Source organism: Homo sapiens, chromosome 2 (genome assembly GCF_000001405.40).
Source record: "Homo sapiens chromosome 2, GRCh38.p14 Primary Assembly".
Taxonomy (NCBI): domain Eukaryota; kingdom Metazoa; phylum Chordata; class Mammalia; order Primates; family Hominidae; genus Homo; species Homo sapiens.
In genome coordinates this window covers 56,624,886-56,649,435 of record NC_000002.12, presented here as the reverse complement: position 1 = coordinate 56,649,435, position 24,550 = coordinate 56,624,886, and the positions used below count along the sequence as shown (strand labels likewise).

General features: G+C 38.0%; 1 long non-coding RNA gene across 3 annotated transcripts in view; it reads right to left on the bottom strand.

Moving 5' to 3' along the window:
- Nucleotides 1-247: 247 nt before the first annotated feature.
- Nucleotides 248-24,550, bottom strand: part of LOC101927213 (uncharacterized) — a 63,269-nt gene continuing 38,966 nt past the window's right edge. For 2 of the 3 annotated variants that reach the window (XR_001739480.1, XR_001739479.1), the window contains one exon: nt 5,267-5,624. This is a non-coding gene — a long non-coding RNA (uncharacterized LOC101927213). Of the gene's footprint in view, nt 365-5,266; nt 5,625-24,550 lie in introns of those variants that run through there. The other variant, XR_001739478.1, reaches the window with a different exon arrangement.

Here is a 24,550-nt window from a genome sequence, read left to right as displayed (position 1 = left end):
TGTTTAAGGCCTCCCAAGAGCATTTGTACAGTGAAGAGGTCACTTTAAAAAGTCAAAGGTTTTTATTATCCACACAGGTAAATCAGTTTTAGTGTAATTCTTGGTAATTTAAATTTAAAAAGAGATAGTGTGTGAGGTACAAATCAAGGGAGGTACAAATCAAGGGAAGACCAAATTACCCTATTTAATCAGGCAGCACTGAGTAAGAAATACTAGAACACAGACTACAGAGCTAAATGAAATGAACATCAGATCTTACCTTCAGCACTTACTGACTGCATGGCTTTGAGCAACATCAATAAATGAGCAAAAATCTTCTGGCAGGTAGTTGGCAATTATATAATGTAGCAATAGTTATTATGCCCTGTGATTAAACAATATTATTAAGATATGTAACCATGTCTGACACAGAGTTCTTTCTTCATAAATGTTAGCTGAGTCACAATTCACATTGCACTTCATCAACTCATAAGAGCATCCCTGGTATCTGATTAGTTAGAAAGAGAAAACGCACCATTTGTACAAGATGACAAAGTAAGACTTTGTTCTTTTCTCTCTGTGGAAGAAATCTGATTAAATTTTTATAAGATTCTCCATTTAGTGCTGCAACGATAGAATTTCTTGTGAAAGCTAAATCCAAAAAAAGAATATAAAAATTCAAACACTAAACCCTCTTCTGCTACTGTTTTTAAAAGTGTCAACACAAGAAACTGAAAACGTTAATTTTGTATAACCATATACGAAAGTTAGGTGGAGTGGAGAAAAACACATTTTTTCTCTAGTTATGATTTCACCATATCTAGTGTTTTTTTTTTAATCTTTTGAAGACAGAGTAGCACTCTAGAATCATATTACTTCGTATGACAATTTGTGAAGAGAAAGTTTGTATTCTTAGTGGTGGGAACAGCTGATAAATCTTCCACAGATTTTGCTTGTGGAAAATCTTCCTTGATATTGCTACCCACTGTCTAAGATATTGAAGGTGTGAAAGGAGGGTTACAATCATGCTAAGCAGAAGGGACTTTCTTACCACATTTGATAAGATTCCTGATGAATATTCCAAACCACAAAGATTTCATAGAAGTGGTCAGTTTGAATCAAATAAATAACTATATAACAACTATTTTTAAAATGTTATCAGAAGAGAGCAGTTTGCCTGGTTAGGCCTCTAAGGAAAATAAATAAATAAATGAAAGAGAAGTGACATAACAGTCAGGTGGAAGTGAAAGCCACAAGAGACGGAACTGAATCCTTCTGAGAAAACAAACCTCAGGTACCTACTAGCTTCAATAACAAAAGATGGTTGTATAATGAAAGGCTTTAAAAACTACAAAACTCACTGAAGAAGATAAAAATCCCCAAGATTGTTCATTTTATCATATTATTTATGTGTTTTTTCTGTACAGTGGAAGAGGAATGTCACTTCTTAAGGAGTACAGATCCCAGGGCATCAAATGCATTAACCTTGTCTGATAAGCATCCACAGTTTTATTTCTTTTTTTTTTTTTAAACAGAGTCTCTCTGTCACCCAGGCTGGTGCGTAGTGGTGCGATCTCGGCTCACTGCAATCTCCACCTCCCGGGTTCAAGCAATTCTCCTGCCTCAGCCTCCCAAGTAGCTGGGATTATAGGCATGTGCCACCACGCCCAGCTAATTTTTTTTTTTTTTTTTTTGTATTTTTAGTAGAGACAGGGTTTCATTATATTTGCCAGGCTGGTCTCAAACTCCTGACTTTGTGATCCACCTGCCTCGACCTTCCAAACTGCTGGGATTACAGGCGTGAGCCATTGCACCCCATCCCACAGTTTTCTTTAACGCCATAACTGTTTAACTATTCTACCTTCACTACTACTGTAAGCCTAATAACAATAATAATAATCAATGACCCAATACATCTAAAGACACCTCAATCTTAACTCCAAAGTCTCTGTTTGCTTATTAGCCAGTTGGATGATATGAAATTCCTTAAGACTTAATCCTCCCATCTTTGTCAAAAGTTCAACTTTCTCCTTTGCTGTTGGAGGTTCCTTTAATGGCATAAATCTATGGTTAGTCACAAATAATAATACTTGGGGTGTTATTATAGGATAGAGACTAAAAGTGTTTTTATTTATTTATTTTAGAGATAAGGTCTCCCTCTATTGGCTGACTAGAGTGTAGTGGTACAATCATAGCTCACTCCAGTCTTGAACTCCTGGGCTCAGGGGATCCTCCTGCCTCAGCCTCCTGAAAAACTAGGACTACAGGCACTTGCCACAAAGCCTGGATAATTATTATTACTATTATTATTATTATTATTATTATTATTATTATTATTTGTAGAGACAGGGGAGGCTTGCTTTATTGCCCAGGCTGGTCTTGAACTCCTAGCCCCAGGCAATCCTCTTGCCTCAGCCTCCCAAAGTTCTGGATTACAGGTATGAGCCACTGTGCTCAGCAAATGCTAAATATGTTTCAGGTAAATTATTATCAATGCTATTAGAGCTTTTATTTATAGATGGGGCTCAGAGAGATCATAGTATTTAAAAAGAATGACTATAAATAATACCTGGAGCTCAACAGAGGAGAGGATGACCTAGAGAGGGAAAGGAGTTAGCACAGTTCCTATAGGTACAATGAGAGCCAAAGGGCCAAAACCAAGGACAGATGATTTCAGAATTCAACCTTAAACTGTCTGTCTTTGTGCTAGGATAAAGAGGGGCATTTTGCTTTGGAAACATCATGGCCCAAAGACAGGAGTCTAAATGTTTCTGGGCATGTGTGAACGAAAGAGAGAGAAAGAGACAGAGAGAGAGAATGTGCACTGCACAATAAGAATAAGACCCATCAATCTATCAGGTTGGAGATAATCCCCTGTGTACCTATAGTGACCTCCTATATGTGTGTCGTATCACAGTATATACTTGTGTGATATGATAATCTGACTTCTTCAGAACTGTCAGTCTTCACACCTGGGAGGCCTGCTGATGGTCATGGAGCTCTTGAAGCTTCCCATCCTATCCCAGCATCAACACTTAAGGGAATCAACCACATAAGGTAAGATTTGCCATTTCAAGCACTATTTTGTTTTTAACTAATGAGTTTGTGGCATTCTTTTTAACTCCTCCATACTTTTTTGTTTTTTTGGACAGAAACAATTGTACATATTATCTACAACATGTTTATACACACATACATGCACATACACAAACATTGTGGAATGTCTAAATCTTTCTGATGCATTACATCAGAAAGTTGTTGTTTTTATGGTGAGAACATGTAAAATCTACTCTCAGCACTTTTCAAGAATACAATATATTCTTATACCTGTAGTCACCATGTTACAAAATAGATCTCTTGAACTCATTCCTTCTAGCTAAAATTTTGTACATTACCTTTTTCTCGACAAATAAACCTTGCATATATTTAGGGTGTACAACACGATGTTTTGATATATGTATACATTGTGGAATGGCTAAGTCAAGCTAATTGGAAAATGTTTTATTTCACATACTTGTTTTTATGGTGAAAACACTGTATTATCTATTATCAGGTGTACAATATATTTTCATTAACTGTAGTCTCCAACATGTACAATAGATCTCTTGAACTTATTATTCCTTTCTAACTGAAATTTTGTATCATTTGACCAATATCTTCCTAATTCTCCTACCCTACCAGCCTCTGCTAACTACCACTCTACTGTCTACTTTTATAAGATTTACTTTTTTGGATTCCATATGTAAGTGAGATCATGCTGCATTTGTTTCTGTGTCTGGCTTATTTCACTTACTATGATGTCTTTCAAGTTCATCCATCAGAAATGACATGTTTTTCTTCTTTTATGAGGCTAAATAGTATTCTATTATGTATATATACACCACATTTTTAATATATTCTTCTGTTGAGAGGCATTTAGGTTGATTCCATATCTTGGCTACTTTTAATAAGGCTGCAATGAACATGGAAAGGCAGATATCCATTTGACATGCTGATTTCATATCCTTTGGATTAATATCCAGAAGTGGGATTGGTGGGTTATATCACAGTTCTATTTTTATTTTTTTTTTGAGAAACATCCATATTATCTTACATATGACTATACCAATTTACATTCCCACCAACAATGTATAAGAGTTTCCTTTTATTCACATTCTCATCATTCGTTATCTTTTGACTTTTTGATAATTGCCATCCTAACAGGTACAAGTGAGGTGATATCTCATTGTGGTTTTAATTCGTATATCCCTAATAATTATGGTACCAGCACAATGTATTGTAGATCACTGAGGGATGTCAAACAATTTATGCCTTCCTTGAATTGATTCTCTCTCTGTTATACATTGTCTTTTGTGGGTGCATTTATTTTGTAACTGCCTCTTCTCTCCGTATCAGGCTGTGACATTTATTGTTACCTCTAGCAGTCATTGCAACTTGTTACATAAATCCCTTATAGCTGAGAAAAAGAAAGACAATCAAACTTTCTAGAAGAATATGTTAAAGAAGTGTCAAAAAGACCTAATAGGAATCTGAAGCCCTCCTCCTAAAATATAGTGCAGGGAATTTAATGTATGAATTTTGTGACATGATGCATAAAGCATGATGTAATTTAAATCTGAGATTATGCTTGAGGCTGTAGAAAGCCTAAGATGAATTTGGCATTAGTTTGACAATATATTGATCAAAGCAATCTGTTTAAACATAGCAAAAAAAAAAAAATCCTGAGTTTTCACAAAGATGTCATTATTTCAATGCAATCCAACAATGTTTTTTTCCTTACTCTTTTCAGAATACTTCAACTGGTGAGAGGGGTGGCAGAATCTATGAACCATCTGGGATTGGAGTAAGAGTGACCAAGTCAATTTGATGACTGTGCCCCTTCCAGGTAAATAGTAACCAGCAATCTAAATATGATTCACCCAGGAAGAAGAGTGAATTTGATTATTACCAAGATTATCACTAATATCAAAAGTGTATGTGGCAGGAGGAAGAGGAGTTTGGTAATGTCAAAAGGAAGGACTTAGCAGAAATAATCTTCATTTATGTATTTATTCATTCATTCAACTAAATATTTAAAACTTAGTGTATGCTGGGTACTCTTCTAGGTGCTGAAAATATTGTGGGAAAAAAAATAAACAAAGATCCCTTCCCTTGTGGAGCTTACAGTTGAAAGGACAATACCCAAAGATAAGATAAATGCATCCCGTCTATGTTGCAACAGAACCCTACCTAACAGCTGAAGGTAGAAGGAAGACAGTCTAGCATCCCTGAAAAAACAGACAGAATCTAGGCCAGCTATCCAGAGGACAACACAGATGGCTGGGTTTGAGGCAGGGTTCCAATACTAGAGCTTGACTAGAACATCTTGCTATCTATGTTAGATTTCTAAGGTTGTCATAACAAATTACCATAAACTTCTTGACTAAAAACAAAATTATTACCTCACAATTCTGGAGGCCAGAAGTCTGAAAGCAAAGCATCAGCAGGGCCATGATTCTTCCAAAGTCTCTAGGGGAGAACCCATTTTGCCCTTTCCATCTTTTGGTGGCTCCTGGCATTCCTTGGATTATGACAGCATAAGACCAATCTCTTTCTCCATCTTTACAGACCATCCACTCTTCTCTTTGTATTGTTCTTCTGGGTATCTTTGATAAGAACAGTCAGCATTGAATCTAAGTTCCACCCAAAATCTAACATAATATCATCTGTAGATTCTTAACTTCATCAGCAAAGACTATTTTCACATAAGGTCACAGTCATGTGTACTGGTGTACACATCATTTTGGAGACCACTATTCAATCTACAGCACTGTATTAATGAGACTTCTTCTCTGTGATCCTAAAATCCTTTTCAAAGTTCTAATTGATCTCATGGCGTTATCACTAACTGTTAATATTTCTGTCTTCTTCGTTAGTCTCAGCTCCTGAATGGTAAGGATGATATTTATTTATACATAAATGTTTTATCCCCAGAGACTACCATATATATTCCTTGACATATATAGGTACTTAACATATTGTCGATACATCACTACATTAACGAGTTTTCTCAACTTAAGTTCTTTATTTAGAGTTAAACAAACAAAATTAACTGTAGCTACTAGGAAAAGGAGGAAATTATTGTAACAAATTGGGTTAGGGTAGCTCGCAGAATCAAACAAATAGCTAGAACCAGGTTTAGAAAGAGATTTAAAAAAAAAAAAAAAAAAAAAAAAAACAGAGCAGCCCCAGATATCCAACTAGTGTGGGCCAGTGCATGATTTCTTCAGAGAACTCTGCTAGAGCTGTGCTGTCCAGAGCAGAAACCAATACCAAATTGTGGCTATTTCAATTTTAATTTTAATTAACTGGAATAAATATAATTAAAAATTCAGTTCCTTAGTTACATTAGCTCTATTTCATGTTCTCAGTAGTCTCATGTGGCTAGTGGCTACCGCATTAGGCAGCACAGGTATACAATATTTCTATGACTACAGAGCTATCTACTAGGAGATTTTGTGCTAGAATGAGGCAGTCTCTTAGGTGAATCAGCTCCATTCATTTTTCTGTCCTATGTCATGACACCAAAGATTAAAATCCTGGAGAGAGTTTTGGCTGAGCCTGAGTTATGCATCTACCATTTTCATAGGATTGTACAGAATGCATCAATGGAAAGCACTACCCAGACTATACATAATGGAGAAGATATTATTTCCCCAAAGGGAAATTCAGTTCTAATATTAGAAGAAGCATGAATGGAATCTGGATCTGCAAAAACATACAAACGTATGCTCCGTATGCCTATCTTTGCATGTTCACACTGTAATTTTAGTGTGAGAATGAAGATGGCATTGCCAGATAGTCTTCATTTGTCAGTCAGCTAATCAGAACAGAAGGCAGCCTCTTTATAACATCCGTTCCCTGGACGGGCATCTGGGATGGGGTATACAGTGCTATCTGATGCTACGCCAAAAATCCTGGCAGGTAAGGAAGAAACAGAAAGAGCCCTGGAGCCATTTACCTGGTCTCTTAATGTCTGAATTATACTTTCTTTAAACACAGCCTGATGTTAAAGAAATTAAATATTCTTATCAAGTTTGGGAAGGCTAACATTCCTGGCTTCAAAGGGTCACTTTTTAATATGCTTTAGCTTTCACCTTCAGCAGGAAATGGGGAGGGAAAAAGAGCTTTTTGTCAGTACATAGCACCACCTATACATTCATTTTCACTAAACAAACTGCCTTTGTTCAGTATTTCCAGTTTGATCTATGATTGCAGATCACATCTCACAGTTCATTGTGGTCTGGTAGTAATGTACATGCAGGGAAAAAAAATATCCACACCTTAAATTGATTGCAACATGAATTTCACAGTCAACCTGCCAAGAATTTAACAGGCCTCTCTTCTCCAAGTTTTGGACAAGAAAAAGAAGTCATCTAAGGCATGAAAATAAGGAATAGAAATGGAGATTGGGCTAGTAATTAAAAGCCCTAGTCCCTAGTTCCACCACTGAGACTGATTGTCCTTGTATAAAAAGAAATAGTTGGATTAGGTAATCTTCGGAACCGTTAGGGCACCTAAAATCTCTCATTCTAATTGTGCTGGTACATGACCATACTCTGTCACCTCACTCAACTATGCCATTCTCCCTGAACCTCTCCCCTTTATTGGATTAATAGCGCTAGAGTGCTGTAGATGAAGGCAACTGACAAACAATTCTGATGAATTTACTTATATTTTGTTTGCTTTTTTTCCCCCCTTTCTCCAATAAGTTCTCCAGGCCCTTATTATTTCCCTGCCTCTGGAACTTCTTTTTTCCAGAACTAAAATTGAAAGCAGTTGGAAGTGCAGAACTATTCCTTTATTTGCGTAGGCACAAACTCATTGAGGGAATTATTTTGGATGCCTTCAAGACAAGGTAAAAAGAAAATTAGTTCTAGAAAGAAGCAAGAGAGAGAAGGAAGACAACATTTTCCTAGACTGGGAAAATGAAAAAGGAGTTTTATCTGACAACAGATCTGTCCTACTTTCTTATATTTTTGAAGACAAGCGCATGACCTAATAGCATACTGAAGGGGGTTAGAAATTTAGGGAGCAGTATTACCAGACTGGCAAAATATTCCTATGTTTCTCTGTTTCTAGGCACAGAAGCAAGAAAGAAAACCTGAAGGATTCATATGGGCTCAGACAAAGCAGCACCATGGTGGCAACCACATGGAACAATGTGTCTCTGATGCAGCACCATTCCTTAAGAAGACCAAACAGACACTTGACAGCAAGTTACCCACATTTCCACTTCCAAGAAATTCCAGTGAATTTCTTCCACTCTGGAAGGGACAGTGAATCATTTGGCTGGAATCAGCACGTATGCCATATAGGAGTTTGCTTTTCATAATGCAGGGCTTCTACCTGCATCACCATCAAAGGGCTTACAAAGTGTTTGACCCACTGACACAGAATCTCACATAACATCATATTAGACCAAAGAACATATTTTACAGCAGACATGGGCGGTGGGCATCTCACAATGAAATCTGCTAGTCCTATCACAAACCTCACCAACCAGAAACTGCTGTCCTGACATAGCAATAGAATGGCCTGTCGAAGGCAAAGTTGCAGAACAGTTCGAGAATCAAACATCAAAAAGATGGGGTACCATCCTCCGGAATGCATTGTATACTCTAAATGGTACTTATCATATGGTGCCATGACTCCAACAGGTAGAATACATGGGTCCAGGATCACAGAGTGGCCCACTTGGGTAATTTGTACTTGTCTTTCTTGTAAATCTTTTTGCTGCTACTTTAGACCAGATGTCCCATTGAATTTTAAGATATGGCTGCTACCCAGGCACTACAAGATCCATATTATGCCAAAGGTCCAGCAGACAAGAGTCACTATTCAGGAAAAGTTTACTGACACTGATCAACAGAGGAAATAAGGCTGTTGCTATGCAGTGGGGGAAGGGGAAATATATTTGGCATGCAGGTGACCCACTTAGGTAATTACTTGAGGATATTACTTATGAAGTTAAACTGCAGGAGCGAAATCTGTAGTTATCCTAATAACCTTCTTTTTATAATTTTTTACAGGAAAAGAGGTATATCAATATCCTAGAGTAGCTCTTACCATATTTTGTGAAGAAGAAGAATTAACTATAGTGGACACAGCATTGCAACCACAGATGCTATTTCAGTAATAAAGGCACATTTTCTTTGTGGCTCAGAAGCCTGTTTAACGAGCCCTCAGGTGTTATACCTGTTCAGGAATTTCCCTCAGCTAAAGGTACCCACTTTCCAAGGGTAGCCCACGTATCTGGTCAATGCAAGGGTCCTCTGGAAAGCTAAAAACCCATTTTACCTTCTGTGCTGCAGTGGATTTGGCCAAATTTTTCACCATGAATGTTTCACAACTCAACTTTTCTCTCTGCCAAATCCTGCCTTCTTTCCTTTCCCTGTGCCTGCTAATGCCTAGACCACTCTAATAAACTTTCTGCACATGAATCTAGGTCTCAGAATCTGTGTCCCAGATTCCCAACCTCAACATCTTTTTTACAAGGTATCATTTCTCTCTCATTGGGAACGATGTAGCCCTAGATCTCAACCTCTTGCAGACTCAGTCATCTACTCAACATTTACTAAAAAGCACTAAGTGCCAGAAATTTTGGTAAGCATTGGGGATTCTAAAACTATATGAGACAGATATGTTCACTACCCTCGTATATAACACATGTATCTCTGTGTTCTTATAGTAAATACCTCTGGTAATCTATTTGAAAGACTTTCTGTATTTTATTATAGTTATTATGAAATTTTTAAAATAATTTATAAACAGGCAGATAAAATTATATGTATTTATCATGTACAACATGATATTTTGTAATATATAGTAGAATAGCCAAACCTAGCTAATGCATGTATTACCTCACAAAGCTATCATTTTGTGGTGGGAACATTTCAGATCTACTCTCTTAACATATTTCAAGAATATAATATATTGTTATTAATACTGTCAACTTGTACAATATTTCTTGAATTTTTTCCTTCTAATGAGAATTGTGCATCTTTTGACCAGAATCTCCCTAACCATATGTGGAATCTAAAAAAGATGATCTCATAGAAGTACAGAGCAGAATGACAGCTGTCTGTATTTTTGACTAGCATCGGTCTCAGTTATTCAAGGTCAGGAACCACGCCATAACAATATCATTTTCAGAATTATAAGGAAAACCGATCACAGAGCAAAGAGATTTAACAAGTATTGTGTGATACTACTGTTTGCTAGATGGTTTTAATTATATTATGTTACTAATAAATTCACTAATAAAACCATGTCACCATATTAATTTCTTCCTTTTATATGTAGAAAACCTAAGGCATAGAGTGGTTAAAAAAAAATAAGGATTACTTAGGTTGTGGATCCAAGTCAGCCTGTCCTGAAATTTGTGGATTTTGCTGTAAGCCTGTCTCCTATGTGTTCTACTGTGTACTGGGACCATACACAGTATGGTCTTAGCAAATGTCTGATGAATGGCAGAATAAATGAAACAATAAATGAATGGGCAATAATTTGTAAGTCACCAAGTCACATGCCAGATTTCTTGGTTTATGCTTTCTGTGCTAATCTTGGAGTGTCTCATGTTAGAACAAGGTTCACATTTTCTAGTCATTTGCAGCTATTAATATTATGATATGCTCTTCATCAATTTTACACTGAGTGGAAATAATGTCTACTCTATATTTGGTTCTATCAACCTTCAGCTCCAGGGAACAGGCCTATAATTAGCATTTGAAAATCACTCCTGAACTCAGTAGAACTCATGAAGATGCCTGATTTCTAAGAAAGCTTTTTTGTGGAAACAGATAGAAGTCCATTGCAGATGATAATTTATGGACAAAATCAAAAAGCCAGAAGAAGATCCCTATATCTACTGGTCTACAGACAATCAAGAGTAGGGTGCTTCTGAAAAGAAATAATTCTTGCCAATCACCCCACATACCACACTTTCACACTATCCTACATAAAGGTGGGGAAGTTTTACAAACTATCATAGGTTTACTGCATAACAGAAGATTAAATCTGAACTCCCTGGATCAGTTTCGCAGATTAATGCAATCCTTAAATGGGTTTCATGACCAGCCTTCTTCCTCCTGGTCTCAATGGCCCAGGTATGACATAGATAGAAAACAGGCATTCTTTCTTACACCTCAGAATAAACTGCTTCTGGGCCAAACCTGGAAATACAAAGTTGATTCCAGAATAGGAGAGTTTTACAGCCCTATTCCCCCATTCTAGGAAGGTGTACAACCGAAAAGCTTTCACTTTCTAACATTTTCATTATCTTCTATTTATTTGTATTATTTTGACTTTGCTTCATTGCATCCATTGAGGAGGCTGCCTTTGTCTGTTATAATTATTTGGATCAATTTTCTCAAAGACCCAAAAAAAAGCCTCTTCTTCATTTTACATGCCCCAAAGGTAAATCCACTTAAAAATGAGTTTTAACAAGCAGTCCTTATACTGACAAATAATTTTCCTTTCTTGTTACCAAGAAAGATAGGCTAGCATGCAGCAAACCTAAATGGGATGTTAAATTTGGATGTTTCTGATTGCCTGCTGTGGGAACTGCTCAAGGTCCATTTAGGAAATGTGCCTTCATTATAGAAAGTGGCAGTCAGCCTTGCTGACAAAAGTCCTTTAGCTTTCACTCTCTTTGACACATGCTAATACCTGGAATCATGACTTCCACACTCTGTTGGCTCAGTGTTCTCTGCTCCTAATGTTCCCTACAAGAAGTTAGCAAAATTAAAGTGTGTAACAGCTTATTCTATCACTGTTTTGATGGCTAGCTTTAAGAAACACAGACTATTTTCATTAAATAAATATGAAAAATCATTTTATATTCTTTAATTTTCCTAATACGTAAGTGGAAAAGAGAAAGCAGCTGGGTGCGGTGGCTCACGCCTATAATCCCAGCACTTTGTGAAGTCGAGGTGGGTGGATCACCTGAGGTCAGGGGTTCAAGACCAGCCTGGCCAATATGGTGAACCTCATCTTCATTAAAAAAAAAAAAAAAAAAAAGGGTGGGGGAGGAGCCAAGATGGCCGAATAGGAACAGCTCCTGTCTACAGCTCCCAGCGTGAGTGATGCACAAGATGGGTGATTTCTGCATTTCCAACTGAGTTACTGGGTTCATCTCACTGGGGAGTGCCAGACAGTAGGTGCAGGACAGTGGGTGCAGCGCACCGTGTGCAAGCCAAAGCAGGGACAGGCATCACCTCACCTGGGAAGCACAAGGGGTCAGGGAATTCCCTTTCCTAGTCAAAGAAAGGGGTGACAGACGGCACCGGGAAAATCGGGTCACTCCCACCCTAATACTGTGCTTTTCCAATGGACTTAAAAAATGGCACACCAGGAGATTATATCCCGCACATGGCTCGGAGGGTCCTACGCCCACGGAGTCTCACTCATTGCTAGCACAGCAGTCTGAGATCAAACTGCAAGGCAGCAGTGAGGCTGGGGGAGGGGCACCCAACATTGCCCAGTTAGTCGTTTGACTAGGTAAACAATGTGGCCGGGAAGCTCGAACTGAGTGGAGCCCACCACAGCTCAAGGAGGCCTGCCTGCCTCTGTCAGCTCCACCTCTGGGGGCAGGGCACAGACAAACAAAAAGACAGCAGTAACCTCTGCAGACTTAAATGTCCCTGTCTGACAGCTTTGAAGAGAGTAGTGGTTCTCCCAGCATGCAGCTTGAGATCTGAGAACAGGAAGACTACCTCAAGTGGGTCCCTGATCCCCAAGTAGCCTAACTGGGAGGCATCCCCCAGTAGGGGCTGACTGACACCTCACATGGCCAGGTACTCCTCTGAGACAAAACTTCCAGAGGAACGATCAGGCAGCAGCATTTGCAGTTCACCAATATACACTGTTCTGCAGCCACCGCTGCTGATACCCAGGCAAACAGGGCCTGGAGTGGACCTCTAGCGAGCTCCAACAGACCTGCAGCTGAGGGTCCTGTCTGTTAGAAGGAAAACTAACAAACAGAAAGGACATCCACACCAAAAACCCATCTGTACATCACCATCATCAAAGACCAAAGGTAGATAAAACCACAAAAATGGGAAAAAAAAACAAAGCAGAAAAACTGGAAACTCTAAAAATCAGAGCGCCTCTCCTCCTCCAAAGGAACGCAGCTCCTCACCAGCAATGGAACAAAGCTGGATGGAGAATGACTTTGATGAGTTGAGAGAAGAAGTCTTCAGATGATCAAACTACTCTGAGCTACAAAAGGAAATTCGAACCAATGGCAAAGAAGTTAAAATCTTTGAAAAAAATTAGACGAATGGATAACTAGAATAACCAATGCAGAGAAGTCCTTAAAGGACGTGATGGAGCTGAAAACCAAGGCATGAGAGCTACGTGATGAATGCAGAAGCCTCAGTAGCCAATGCGATCAACTGGAAGAAAGGGTATCAGTGATGGAAGACGAAATGAATGAAATGAAGCGGGAAGAGAAGTTTAGAGAAAAAAGAATAAAAAGAAATGATAAAAACCTCCAATAAATATAGGACTATGTGAAAAGACCAAATCTGTGTCTGATAAGTGTACCTGAAAGTGACGGGGAGAATGGAAGCAAGTTGGGAAACACTCTGCAGGATATTATCCAGGAGAACTTCCCCAATCTAGCAAGGTAGGCCAACATTCAAATTCAGGAGATACAGAGAACGCAACAAAGATACTCCTCAAGAAGAGCAACTCCAAGACACATAATTGTCAGATTCACCAAAGTTGAAATGAAGGAAAAAATGTTAAGGGAAGCCAGAGAGAAAGGTCGGGTTACCCATAAAGGGAAGCCCATGAGACTAACAGCTGATATCTCGGCAGAAACTCTACAAGCCAGAAGAGAGTGGGGACCAATATTCAACATTCTTAAAGGAAAGAATTTTCAACCCCGAATTTCATATCCTGCCAAACTAAGCTTCATAAGTGAAGGAGAAATAAAATACTTTACAGACAAGCAAATGCTGAGAGATTTTGTCACGACCAGGCCTGCCCTAAAAGAGCTCCTGAAGGAAGCTCTAAACATGGAAAGGAACAACCGGTACCAGCCACTGCAAAAACATGCCAAATTGTAAAGACCATCAAGGCTAGGAAGAAACCTCATCAACTAATGAGCAAAATAACCAGCTAACATCATAAACACAGGATCAAATTCACACATAACAATATTAACTTTAAACGTAAATGGGCTAAATGTTCCAATTAAAAGACACAACTGGCAAATTGGACAGAGTCAAGACCCATCAGTGCTCTGTATTCAGGAAACCCATCTCACGTGTAGAGACACACATAGGCTCAAAATAAAGGGATGGAGGAAGATCTACCAAGCAAATGGAAAACAAAAAAAGGCAGGGGTTGCAATCCTAGTCTCTGATAAAACAGACTTTAAACCAACAAAGATCAAAAAAGACAAAGAAGGCCATCACATAATGGTAAAGGGATCAATTCAACAAGAAGAGCTAACTATGCTAAATATATATGCACCCAATACAGGAGCACCCAGATTCATAAACCAAGTCCTTAGTGACATAGAAAGAGACTTAGACTCCCACAAAATAATAATGGGAGACTTTAACACCCCACTGTCAACATTAGACAGATCAACGAGACAGAAAGTTAACAAGGATACCCAGGAATTGAACTCAGCTCTGCACCAAGCGGACCTAACAGACATCTACAGAACTCTCCACCCAAAATCAACAGAATATACATTGTTTTCAGCACCACACCACACCTACTCCAAAATTGACCACATAGTTGGAAGTAAAGCACTCCTCAGCAAATGGAAAAGAACAGAAATTATAACAAACTGTCTCTCAGACCCCAGAGCAATCAAACTAGAACTCAGGATTAAGAAACTCACTCAAAACCGCTCATCTATATGGAAACTGAACAACGTGCTCCTGAATGACTACTGGGTACATAATGAAATGAAGGCAGAAATAAAGATATTCTTTGAAACCAATGAGAACAAAGATACATCATGCCAGAATCTCTGGGACACATTCAAAGCAGTGTGTAGAGGGAAATTTATAGCACTAAATGCCCACAGGAGAAAGCAGGAAAGATCTAAAATTGATACCCTAACATCACAATTAAAAGAACTAGAAAAGCAAGAGCGAACACATTCAAAAGCCAGCAGAAGGCAAGAAATAACTAAGATCAGAGCAGAAATGAAGGAAATAGAGACACAAAAAAACCCTTCAAAAAATTAATGAATCCAGGAGCTGGTTTTTTGAAAAGATCAACAAAATTGATAGGCTGCTAGCAAGACTAATAAAGAAGAAAAGAGAGAAGAAACAAATAGACACAATAAAAAATGATAAAGGGGATATCACCACTGATCCCACAGAAATACAAACTACCATCAGAGAATACTACAAACACCTCTACGCAAATAAACTAGAAAATCTAGAAGAAATGGATACATTCCTCAACACATATATGCTCCCAAGACTAAACCAGGAAAAAAGTTGAATCTCTGAATAGACCAATAACAGGCTCTGAAATTGAGGCAATAATCAATAGCTTACCAACCAAAAAAAAGTCCAGGACCAGATGGATTCACAGCTGAATTCTACCAGAGGTACAAAGAGGAGCTGGTACCATTCCTTCTGAAACCATTCCAATCAAACAGAAAAAGAGGGAATCCTCCCTAACTCATTTTATGAGGGCAGCATCATCCTGATACCAAAGCCTGGCAGAGACACAACAAAAAAAGAGAATTTTATACCAATATCCTTGAGGAACATCAACGCAAAAATCCCCAATAAAATACTGGCAAACCGAATCCAGCAGCACATTAAAAAGCTTATCCACCATGATCGAGTGGGCTTCATCCCTGGGATGCAAGGCTGGTTCAACATATGCAAATCAATAAATGTAATTCACCATATAAACAGAACCAAAGACAAAAACCACATGATTATCTCAATAGATGCAGAAAAGGCCTTTGACAAAATTCAACAGCCCTTCATGCTAAAAACTCTCAATAAATTAGGTATTGGGACGTATCTCAAAATAATAAGAGCTATCTATGACAAACCCACATCCAATATCATACTGAATGGGCAAAAACTGGAAGTACTCCCTTTGAAAACGGGCACAAGACAGGGATGCCCTCTCTCACCACTCATATTCAACATAGTGTTGGAAGTTCTGGCCAGGGAAATCAGGCAGGAGAAGGAAATAAAGGGTATTCAATTAGGAAAAGAGGAAGTCAAGTTGTCCCTGTTTGCAGATGACATGATTGTATATCAGGAAAACCCCATCATTTAAGCACAAAATCTCCTCAGGCTGATAAGCAACTTCAGCAAAGTCTCAGGATACAAAATCAATGTGCAAAAATCACAAGCATTCTTATACACAAATAACAGACAAACAGAGAGCCAAATCATGAGTGAACTCCCATTCACAATTGCTTCAAAGAGAATAAAACACCTAGGAATCCAACTTACAAGGGACGTGAAGGACTTCTTCAAGGAGAACTACAAACCACTGCTCAATGAAATAAAAGAGGATACAAACAAATGGAAGAACATTCCATGCTCATGGGTAGGAAGAATCAATATCATGAAAATGGCCATACTGCCCAAGGTAATTCATAGATTTAATGCCATCCCCATCAAGCTACCAATGACTTTCTTCACAGAATTGGAAAAAACTACTTTAAAGTTCATATGGAACCAAAAAAGAGACCGCATCGCCAAGTCAATCCTAAGCCAACAGAACAAAGCTGGAGGCATAACACTACCTGACTTCAAACTATACTACAAGGCCCCAGTAACCAAAACAGCATGGTACTGGTACCAAATCAGAGATATAGACCAATGGAACAGAACAGAGCCCTCAAAAATAATGCCACATATCTACAACTATCTGATCTTTGACAAACCTGACAAAAACAAGCAATGGGGAAAGGATTCCCTATTTAATAAATGGTGCTGGGAAAACTGGCTAGCCATATGTAGAAAGCTGAAACTGGATCCCTTCCTTACACCTTATACAAAAATTAATTCAAGATGGATTAAAGACTTAAATGTTAGACTTAAAACCATAAAAACCCTAGAAGAAAATCTAGGCAATACCATTCAGGACATAGGCATGGGCAAGGGCTTCATGTCTAAAACACCAAAAGCAATGGCAACAAAAGCCAAAATTGACAAATGGGATCTAATTAAACTAAAGAGCTTCTGCACGGCAAAAGAAACTACCATCAGAGTGAACGGGCAACCTACAGAATGGGAGAAAATTTTTGCAACCGACTCATCTGACAAAGGGCTAATATCCAGAATCTACAATGAACTCAAACAAATTTACAAGAAAAAAACAAACAACCCCATCAAAAAGTGGGCGAAGGACATGAACAGACACTTCTCAAAAGAAGACATTTATGCAGCCAAAAAACACATGAAAAAATGCTCATCATCACTGGCCATCAGATAAATGCAAATCAAAACCACAATGAGATACCATCTCATACCAGTTAGAATGGAGATCATTAAAAAGTCAGGAAACAACAGGTGCTGGAGAGGATGTGGAGAAATAGGAACACTTTTACACTGTTGGTGGGACTGTAAACTAGTTCAACCATTGTGGAAGTCAGTGTGGCGATTCCTCAGGGATCTAGAACTAGAAACACCATTTGACGCAGCCACCCCATTACTGGGTATATACCCAAAGGATTATAAATCATGCTGCTATGAAGACACATGCACACGTATGTTTATTGCGGCACTATTCACAATAGCAAAGACTTGGAACCAACCTAAATGTCCAACAATGATAGACTGGATTAAGAAAATGTGGCACATATACACCATGGAATACTATGCAGCCATAAAAAATGACGAGTTCATGTCCTTTGTAGGGACATGGATGAAACTGGAAACCATCATTCTCAGCAAACTATCACAAGGACAAAAAACCAAACACCACTTATTCTCACTCATAGGTGGGAATTGGACAATGAGAACACATGGACACAGGAAGGGGAACATCACACACTGGGGACTGTTGTGGGGTGGGGGGAGTGGGGAGGGATAGCATGAGAAGATATACCTAATGCTAAATGACGAGTTAATGGGTGCAGCACACCAACATGGCACATGTATACATATGTAACAAACCTGCGCGTTGTGCACATGTACCCTAAAACTTAAAGTATAATAATAATAAGATTTAAAAAAAAAATTAGCCGGGCATGGTGGCGTGCATCTGTGGTCCCAGTTGCTCAGGAGGCTGAGGCAGGAGAATCACTTGAACCCAGGAGGCAGAGATTACAGTGAGCCGAGATTGCACCACTACACTCCAGCCTGGGTGACAGAACGAGATTCTATCTCAAAAAAAAAAAAAAAAGAAAGAAAGAAAGAGCAGAAAGAAATATCAAAACTAACTGCCTACTGGTGAGTACTTTACATATATTGTTTCTTTAATCCTCACAGGAACTATTAAACCCATTTTATAAATGAGGAATCTGAGTTCCTGAAAGGTTAATCTTTGCCACCTAAAACTCAGGAAAACATAACTCTGAATGGACTTGCTGACATATTAAGGAAAAGGCAGATATTAAAGAACAATTTAAAGCAGTATTTTCCAAAATACCATGCTTTCAGGATACCAGTGAGTGCTGCGCACATACACATGAAGAGGTGTCTTCAAATGAGTTGAGAACTTCACTGGATTTACTAGTCTTTTTGAAATTTATCAGGCTTTATTGACTTTAAACTTAAATCAGAAACATTTTTCAATGCAATGAAAACTCTTCAAAAATATATCTCTAATAACTACATAACATCACATCCCATTTATCGAATATAATTTATTTAGCCTTTGGCTTCTTTAGTGATATTTTTCCCCAGTTGTGCTTTAAATGCTAATGTACACTGTGGCTCTCCAAGAATGAAGCTGGTATGTAGTGTTAGCTATGTAGTATTTCAAAACTTATACAGAGCATCTCCAAGGTTCAGCATTACATAGTTTTCACTTTGGAAATGCCCATACTGAGTTGCCAAGAAATTGTGCTCGTTAAAAAATATACACAGAAAAACCTTCATATATAAGCTTTGAATAAAAAGTATTTTTTAAATACTAACATGTTAATTCCTTAAATTTTTATTAATTTTTAAGCTTTGACTTTTAACAACTGTAATTATAATCAAGAAGTTTACAAATATTTCATCTGTCTGTCTCTCTTTCTGGACAAATAGAAGGATTGTATACCCTTGTTCACCTGAGCTAGATATAGCTGTTTGATTTACTTTGATCAATGACATGGAGACGTTAGTATTGTGGGTCACTGAAGGCAGAAGCTTTCAAGGTCTGTATAGGCTTTGCCATGTTCTTTTTCCCTCTGTCATGATGACTGGCCTTGCCACAGAGCAGGGCTCCTCTGTTGATTCAGTATTCTGAATTGAAAAAACACAAAGCAGAGCCCCTAGGTAGCATTCAATGGACAAATGTGAGAAAATTAAATAAAAAATAAAGGTTATTTGTTCTGAGTCATGGAAATTTAGTCTATCTTGACCAATATAATAACTTAGGTAATATGGCATAGTACAAAAAAATATCGCAAAAAGAATGAGAAAAAAGTGTCAACTTCTAATAGTTGTTATTTACCAACTTGGCAAATAGCTATGAAATTCACTTAACCTCTTCAAAGTCTCTGTTTGGCAAAATAATAAGTGCCTTCCTGGCAGAATCATTCTGAATATCGAAAGAGAACAGCCATGGGTGTGTTTTTGAAGCTATAAAACACATTACACATGTGTATTAGTCGTTCCCATGCTGCTAATAAAGGCATAACTGAGACTGGGTAATTTATAAAGGAAAAGGGTTTAATGGACTCACAGTTCCACATAGCTGGGGAGGCCTCAAAATCATGGTGGAAGGTGAAGGAGGAGCAAAGTCACATCTTACATGGCAGCAGGCAAGAGAACGTGTACAGAGGAACTGCCCCTTTGTAAAACCATCACATCTTGTGAGATTTATTCAATATCATGAGAAAAGCACAAGAAAAACCAGCCCCCATGATTCAATTACCTCCCATGGGGTCCCTGCCATGACATGTGGTGATTATAGGAGCTACAATTCAAGATGAGATTTGGGTGGACAATAGCCAAACCATATCAACATGGAAGGTCTTATTTTTTTTTTAAGTTTTGGATGTGATTTTCAAAGCTACAAACATTAATTAAGGTCATATTGTACATACATTTTTGTGGCTTCTATCAATTTTAATACCAGTAGCCACAGGACATAATTTAAACTCTTGCTTCATTTACCTTACCTATATTCTGTTTGTCTCAAAGCTTAATGAGAACCAATTATATTATTTAGTCATCTTTAATTATAACATACATAAATGCCATTTATACTTATTTAACCTTATCTAGCTACTTAGTATGAAATTAGAAAAGCACAAAATGATTATTTAAAAAATGAGTATGTTCCAAATACAGCTTTATCTTTATTCTAAGTTGAGATTACTTTCTTAATTCCCACTACACTCTGATTATAATTTAACTTTTTCTAATAGCTGCATTCACTATGTCAGAAAACATTACTGATCTAGGTTAGAGAGAAGATTGGTAGGATGTAGGAAATGCACAGCTCTGACCCTTTAGGATAGCCCTAAGGTTTTCTAGTCAGCAACTTCCTGAAGTAGGAGAAACAGAAACTAATGATGAAGACACGTATTTTAATGACGAGCACTTTACCATTTATGCCCTCTTCATCACCTCTCTAGTGTGGGCCTTCTGTATCACTTGCCTGGACCACTGTAATGTGTCCTAATGGGGCCCCCTAACTTCAGCCACTGCCCTCCCAAGCCTACCCACACAAGGTTGTTCCAGCTACCTTTATGTTTCATTAAATTATACAGATAACCATAATAACCTATTCCTTGAAATAATTTAATGGCTCTAAAGCCTTTAAATGCAAAGGGACTAGAATCTGCCTCCTCAGCCTAGCACTTCAAGCCCAGCACAGTCTGAGTAAATAGTTCTAAAAATTATTCAACTCCTATCTTACTTTTCTCTCTTATTTCTTCTGATGCACACTTGATATTTCCAGCACAATAGAATAATTTCTAGTCATCAAACCTACCTTGGCTCTGCAGCCTAACACCTTTTATGCCTGCTCTCCCTTCCTCTTGAATTACCCAAACTATCATTCCCACATCTGTCTAGCCATTCCAAGTGGAGCTCTGTATTCTCCAAATTTATAAAAATTTCCCACGTCTTCTTTGAGTTCTACAGACCTCAAGAATGACTGTTTTATTTCTCTCTAGCACAATGAAGAGCAACACAGATTTCAGATTAAACAATTATAGTAGATATTCACTGCATATGGGAATTTGTGAACTGAAAGTATTATTAACCACAGATTATTCCTCTTCAAAACATTTTGTAAAATGGATATTATAATTTATATTTTACACAAAGGAAAGTTGAGATTTCAGTAAAGCTGAAAAACCTTTTCCGGAAATACACAGAAGTTTATTTTCTAAATAATAATTGCCATAATTTTTGTGACATTTATAAACAAGGGTAAATGAATAAGTGTTCACAAATGCACCATATGATGAAAATCTAAATTAAGCCTAGTTCATGTGAAGAAAATACAAAAGGATGAAGTTTTTGTTAACTGTACATTTAACATCATTAAGAGTTGAGACATGATCACCAACAAACATAAAACCATGAACTGTGGTACAGAGGCACCGTGTACAGGAAAAAATAGTCCCAGATTCTCTGTACTGGCTAATCTACATCTGTAAGAGGCATGTGTTCATCATTTTGATTTCAACCTCACTAAAATATACTTTCTAATGATGGTGACAAAGAAGATGAAGGATCTGAAAATCAAGCATTACGGAGGAATTATTAAAGGAATTTCGGATTTTGGCCTAGGGTGGAGGTGGAAGAGGACTTATAGAAGTCCTCTAGCTATGATAGAAAACAGAACCAATAAATGAAGCGAAGGGATGATAGCTTTAACAATGCAAATACAAAAAGTCATTCAATTACAGCTCACTGAAATGGGAAAAGGCAAGCCTTCCCTTGGCTCCAGAGATTCTACTCTTCCCTCGCTTCCTCCCATAGTTTGAGGTGACGTTACATAAGAGCTTACCCTAAACTGAAAGTCTCATGCTGCTTCCTTCCAGGGGAAAGTCTTGCTGCATACAAAATATCAGCCAAACTAAATTATATTCTTAATGACCCAGTACATTTACATTTTGGCAAAAGCACTTTATCTGACAGAGGGCTGTAACAAATAGGAGCCAATCTGCTGACCACACATTTTTCTTATTTCAAGGCTCTGTGTTTCTTCCTTTGTCTCTCCCACAAGCTCTGGTACACAGTCTTCAAAGTCCTTTCGCCTTCTAAGTAAAGTGATTATATACATCCAGGATATTATGGACAATCGTAATTTAAAATATTCTGTACTTCTTTCCACAGAGTATAATGATAAGGTATCAGAACAGACACACTGATATTTCTTTCCTCAAAAATAAGGCCAGGCACAGTGGCTCATGCCTGTAATCCCAGCACTTTGAGAGGCCGAGGTGGGTGGATCACCTGAGGTCAGGAGTTTGAGACCAGCCTTGCCAACATGGTGAAACCACATCTCTACTAAAAATACAAAAATTAGCTGGGCGTGGTGGCGGGCGCCTGTAATCCCAGCTACTCAGGAGGCTGAAGCAGGAGAATCACTTGAATCTGGGAGGCAGAGGTTGCAGTGAGCCAAGATTGCACCACTGCACTCCAGACTGGGTGACAGGGTGGGACTCTGTCTCAAGGCAATAAATAAATAAAAATAAGATATAAATGAGCTATCCTTTTGACGTCCCACTAAAACATAATAGAAAAGCACACACAAACACACACATACAGACACTATATTTTTCATACAACTAAAAATGCCCTCCCACTAATATTCCTCTGATTTCTTCTCAGAACTTGAATAAAGGCTCTACATTCTATTATCATGAACAAGATGTCAATTTTAGAAAAACAGTGCTTCCTTGGATCTAAACTTATGCACAAACTTAACAACAACAACAAAAGACAAAGTGTTTATTCAAGGCCTGGAACATGCACTTCTAGAGAAAGAAACAGACCCATAATCTTGTGTATATTTCTTTTAAATTTCATTTGATAGAGGCCCTAAAATTTGATAGGTATATCAGTCTGATCAAACTTGCTAGTTCAGAATACTAAATAGAGTCAATTATGTAAGTTGCCTGCTAATGAAATGTAACCTTTGAACATGTCTGAAGAAAGAAGACATCTGGCCAATGATAGTTTCATCTCATATTCATCTCTGATATCTGGCTCCCAAGTACTTCCAGCTATTGAGAAGCACTGGAGGGCTATTTGAAGGTGAGAGAGGAGTGGACAATATATTTCTTCCATTCTCTTTACCTCCTGTGGTATCATTCTGCAGTGGCTATATCTCTTCCATGGCTCCTTAATAAACAGATTCCGTCTGTAACAGCTCTCAACAGCCAAACCCAACACAGCTTCTGGCTCTCACAGGATAGCCCTTGCTCCCAGATTATGGAAGCAAGTGTTCTCCCAACCCTAGAAGTGGTAGCAGCTTCCTGCTAGTGCTAATCTCTGAGAGACTTCAGTATCCTATTTCAGTGCTCTATTCTATGATCATGTATGTAATCAATTCCCTGTTTTAAATCTCCTTCTATTAAAATACACAGAATACCTCTAATACCCTGGCTGGACCCTGACTGATACAGATTGTCAACAACAACAACAAATAGCCTTGAAAAATAAAAATAAAAAAGGATCAGCACAGGAGAAATCAACACTGGGGTGATCATGTGATCATTTAGGCCAATTTTCAGGGATGTCACCTCTCTTGTTCTAATGGCAGCTTTATCTGTGAGGAAATGGGTGAGGCAGGCATTTATGCTTTCCCTGTCTGGACCCAATAATGCTTTTCAAGCCATCTTCCAATTGTAATTTTGAAGCTCCTGTAGCTTTGTCTACAAAAAGATAGTGGACTAACTAGAGAATATGAGTGCCCTGTTCTGGTAGTACTTTATTTTTATTTAAATTTTAAAAATTCCTTCTAGATTCAATGATCAGATACTGAAAAACTAATAAATGTGAGACTGCCTCTGAGACTTTGATCCTCCTCTTCATTTGTGGGAACATCAGAATTCTTAACCCAAAGCCCGACATGTAGAGAATTCTCCCCAACAAAAAATGTCACCATGTGTCTAACTGACCAGCCAGCCTTTCCCAGATCTCAACTAGCTGCCAGAATGCAACCTTTTCCTTAACTAGAAGTTCTATAAGTAAAATTTGCCCTATTTTATTCACAGGGTAGTTTTGAAAATGAAATTTGGTTTTACATATAAAAACACTTTCTGAGTTATCAAAGCAGTAATAGAAAATATCATAAACGAGTACATTAACCATTGACTTTTTCTTCATTAATTTAAAACTCTTAGCTTGGTAAATAAGAAGGAATGTCTGAAAGATGTGAATATTCTATGAAGAGTAGACAT